A 3851-nucleotide genomic window follows, 5' to 3' on the forward strand; every position below is an offset into this window, starting at 1 on the left:
TTTTAGGTTAAAACTTGATCAATGTTTCTGTTAACTAATAATCTAGGAATCAACAATCTCATAAAACTGGTTTATTCAGCCCAGAAAATTAGGCAATCCATCATGACTGATTTGCTCACATTTCCGTCTGCAAATAAGTGAGATGGAAACTTTAAAACCAATAAGATAATGCACTTTACAAATTCAACTGAGAGAGATGGATAAACTAAGATGCCACTGGCATCAGTTACAAAAAAAAAAATCTGTCGTGTTTCCAATTATTTGAGCAGATTTTTGTATCCCAATTTGCTGCCAGCCTGGCTGCATCTAGCCCCCTCCTCCTGTTTTCTCAAACCAAATCATCAGGTCTTAAATCAGAACGAGCTCATCATATCATCCTATGAAAGGCCATCAGGGGATAAAGGACACCAGATGTTATATGAGTTTTCTTTTAGGCTTTCATTTCAGCCTTCCTGCATTCCCCATGCTGCTTTTTACTTGTCAGAAACTAAAATGTGCTTTGATAGATAACAACCCTATTTTCTTCACTGGCTGAGCTTAGAGAATACCATTAAGTATTGATATCTAGGGTGCTTAACTAGGGAATGCAATCACAGCAGTGCCAAAATTGGGGTTCTGTTGTATTATTGTACATGCCAAGATTTTTGAAAAACTCAAAATTAATTTTGTTTTCCCGAGGAAAAAAATACATAGTTTTAGTTGTGGGAGATGAAAGGAAGGGGAATCAAGGCGAGTCCTTATTAGTATCTCTGCTTCCTCCTGCAGATATTAGCACACATCCCGGAGTCCAAATAACCCTGCCAAGCCGAGCAGAGGTAGATTTTTGAAATGGAATGATGGCCCCAACTGCCAAAGCAAATTATTAAAATGCTCTATACTTTGAGAGCTTAGCATTTGCCTAACTTTGGGTTTGTTAACAAAGGACAAAAAAAAAAAAAAAAAAAAAGAGCTCTTCCATAATCTGTAGAGTCTCAGACATGCTGTCGTCCTGTTTACTGATGATAACAACTCGTTGACACATGGCAAACTACAGCATCTTGATTCACTTATGGGGCGGTTCAAGGTCAGCCACATACTAGTTACAAGAATATAGCCACATTATGTGATTTGATTCAAGAGACTAGCTCACTCTTCTCTGGTTTCCAATGAAATGATTTTTTAAAAGGACTTTCATAGCCATGGCAGTGTATGTGTTGTAAAGGGATTATGCACAAATCCTACTTGTGGCTAGCGTGTGCTCCTCCTGGGAGGTAGATAGATAAAAGTTACAATGAATGAGAATAGGTGTTTACCTACAATGACCTTAGGTCATGTAAGTGGAGGAAAACCTTGAATCGTGTTTTATAGGAAATATCACTGTCCTTAATCAGAGGTGGTTCCTTTCTCTCCTCCAGGGAACATTTGGCAATGTCTGGGATTGTTTTTGATTGCCGCGACTGGGGGACTGATGGGGAGGAGTGGATTCCTGGCATCTAATGAGTAGAAGCTAGGGATGCTGCCAAGCATCCTGCAACGCACAGAACAGCCCCAGCCCAACAATTATTCAGCCTCAAATGCTAGTAGTGGTTGAGAAACCTCGGCATAAAAGATGAAAACAGTAAAATGAGCACTAATGTCAAACGCTGGGAGAATAAGAGAGGGGAGGAGGTGCCAGAAGTGGTCAGCACTGTCCATTCAAAGAAAACTGGGGAGTGAGCGAATGCTAGAGTCCTTTCACGTGGTTCCTGGAGGTGCAACAGGATTCAACCTAAAGAAACTTCCAGGGCTGCCTACCCCACTTACAACCTTCTGCACGCAGTGGCCAGAAATTATTAAAAAGTATCCGGTAATATTAATCCGTATGATAAAAAGGTACCCTGCTGTTCAGATTAAACCTTGCAATGGTCCATGACCCAGAGACTACCAAAATGGTGCATCATGGCTACTAGGTAAATGTTCCTTTAATGAACAAAAGAATAATTGGATTTTAATTGAATGAATAAACAAATGAGCTATTTCTGGATGTCCGCACTTGGAGAGGTTTACTGACTCTTTCTTAGTCACTAAACCCAGCAGGAGTGGCTTAATGACTCATACCTTAGGGATTTTAAGGGAGGGATGCAGACCTCAGAGCTTCTGATATGCACGGAAGCATCCAGCTCACCTGTCTTCTCTTAACCCCATTAAATTAATTCTCCGCGTTGCAGCCGTATCGCTGCCTAAAAATATTCATCATAGCACCCATTCCTACAGGCTACAGTTTAATTATTTAGTATTGTGTTCAATACCATCCTTGATCCCAAATTAACCCCCTCTTCTTTCATGTTTTGCTACCTTCCATCACCTGTTTAATGCTCTGATCATTTCCTGCCCCCATGTGTTTCATCCTTCCATACCTTTCCTCCTATTGTTCTGTTGGCCTTCGATAAAAACCTCCATTTACGCTTCAGGTTAACTCCCACTCCCACTCCAATGAGATAATCATCTCCACTGGGCAGTGTCCATGGAAACCTTTGTTTAGACTAAATATCTTATTTTCCTGTTCTCTTTCAGCGTCTTTAAACGTCATCATGATAGCGTCATCATTAAGTTGATGGTATTACGGTGATTTTCAAACTGTGCTGAGTTGTTCATTTCGTTCAGGCTCCATAGCATGTGACAATGACAGAGAGAAGTAAATGGAATTCTGAGTCTGACCTCTCTTCAAATGTGGAAACTTTGCTTTCATCAGTTTTAGATAGGATTACCCATGTAAGACATGATTTAAAGAAAGTTATCTGCAGCAACATCAATGAAGAGTAACAAAACAACTGAAAATATTATAATATGATTTTTAAATTATCTGCCTGTGGTACTTTTATAAAGTCTGCAATGCCATGCACCAAACATAATGCTTAGAAATAAAACGTAGGTGTTGAACTGAATAGATTTTACCCACCAAAAGCACTGAATTAATGGTAGGTAATGATAATAATAATATTTTTTATTCTAAGTATTCAAAGTCAATGTTTTTATATGTAGCAAATGATCACTAAATAACATGTATATATGTGTGTGTGCATATGTGTGTAAATATAGAAAGTTATATATTGCATATTTAACTTTCTCTAAATGTAGATATAAATGTGTATATATGTACACATATACTGATATGTACACTTATCATCTCCCTACAAAAATACTTCTTTATTCGAAATTGTAAAATGATGCTGAATCTTCAAATCCTGCTCCCCATTTGCATTTCGTTAAGGAATTTCAGGATTTACTTACAAAACCACATTCTGAAAAGTGGTTTGTAAGTGTTGTTGCACGTGAGAATTCAACGTAATTATCTATTGTCATCAGAATAGACATGAAGGATTATGAGAAGTTCTTTTTGTCATGAAGCCCATGCTGATCCCATATCACATGGGGATCAATCTGCAAATCAGTCATCGACAGGGGAGATGAGATTTATTGATTGTACAACCTGAGCAGCTCTAAATATGCAAGTGTCACCATTGGAAATGAAGACAATGGCTTGAAGGCAACCTGGGACCATCATTCACACAATTTGAGTGGATTTTCATAAAGGGAATCTGAGACTGCGGCTGGTTAATACATGGCTAAGTAGGCTATGGCTCAAATTATGAAAAACTGACAAGCAATTTATAAGTTAAATCGTAAATATCCAAAGTCCAGGACCTTGTGTTTTAAGAAACAAAAATGTGTGACTGTCTAAGCAAGAGATACTGGACAAAAATTTCTATGATATCAGAACTCATCATCCTAAAATAGAATTCAGGGAAAAATTAAATGGATTTTTAAAAATCAGTTAACACAATGTATTACTTATTAAATTCTTTCATGGAGCAAATAGAAGACTAATTTCT

The 3851-nt window shown here is 37.9% G+C and overlaps 1 annotated feature.

Moving 5' to 3' along the window:
- Positions 1312-2511: an enhancer, noted in NCBI's record as "P300/CBP strongly-dependent group 1 enhancer chr6:9405051-9406250 (GRCh37/hg19 assembly coordinates)". NCBI's record gives its function as "activates an origin of replication core promoter dependent on BRD2, BRD4, P300/CBP, MED14 and CDK7 cofactors, with strong dependence on P300/CBP, by STARR-seq in HCT116 cells {active_cell/tissue: HCT116}" and the evidence as "EXISTENCE:reporter gene assay evidence [ECO:0000049][PMID:35650434]".

The sequence above is a fragment of the Homo sapiens genome, chromosome 6 (genome assembly GCF_000001405.40).
Source record: "Homo sapiens chromosome 6, GRCh38.p14 Primary Assembly".
NCBI classification, from domain to species: Eukaryota; Metazoa; Chordata; class Mammalia; order Primates; family Hominidae; genus Homo; species Homo sapiens.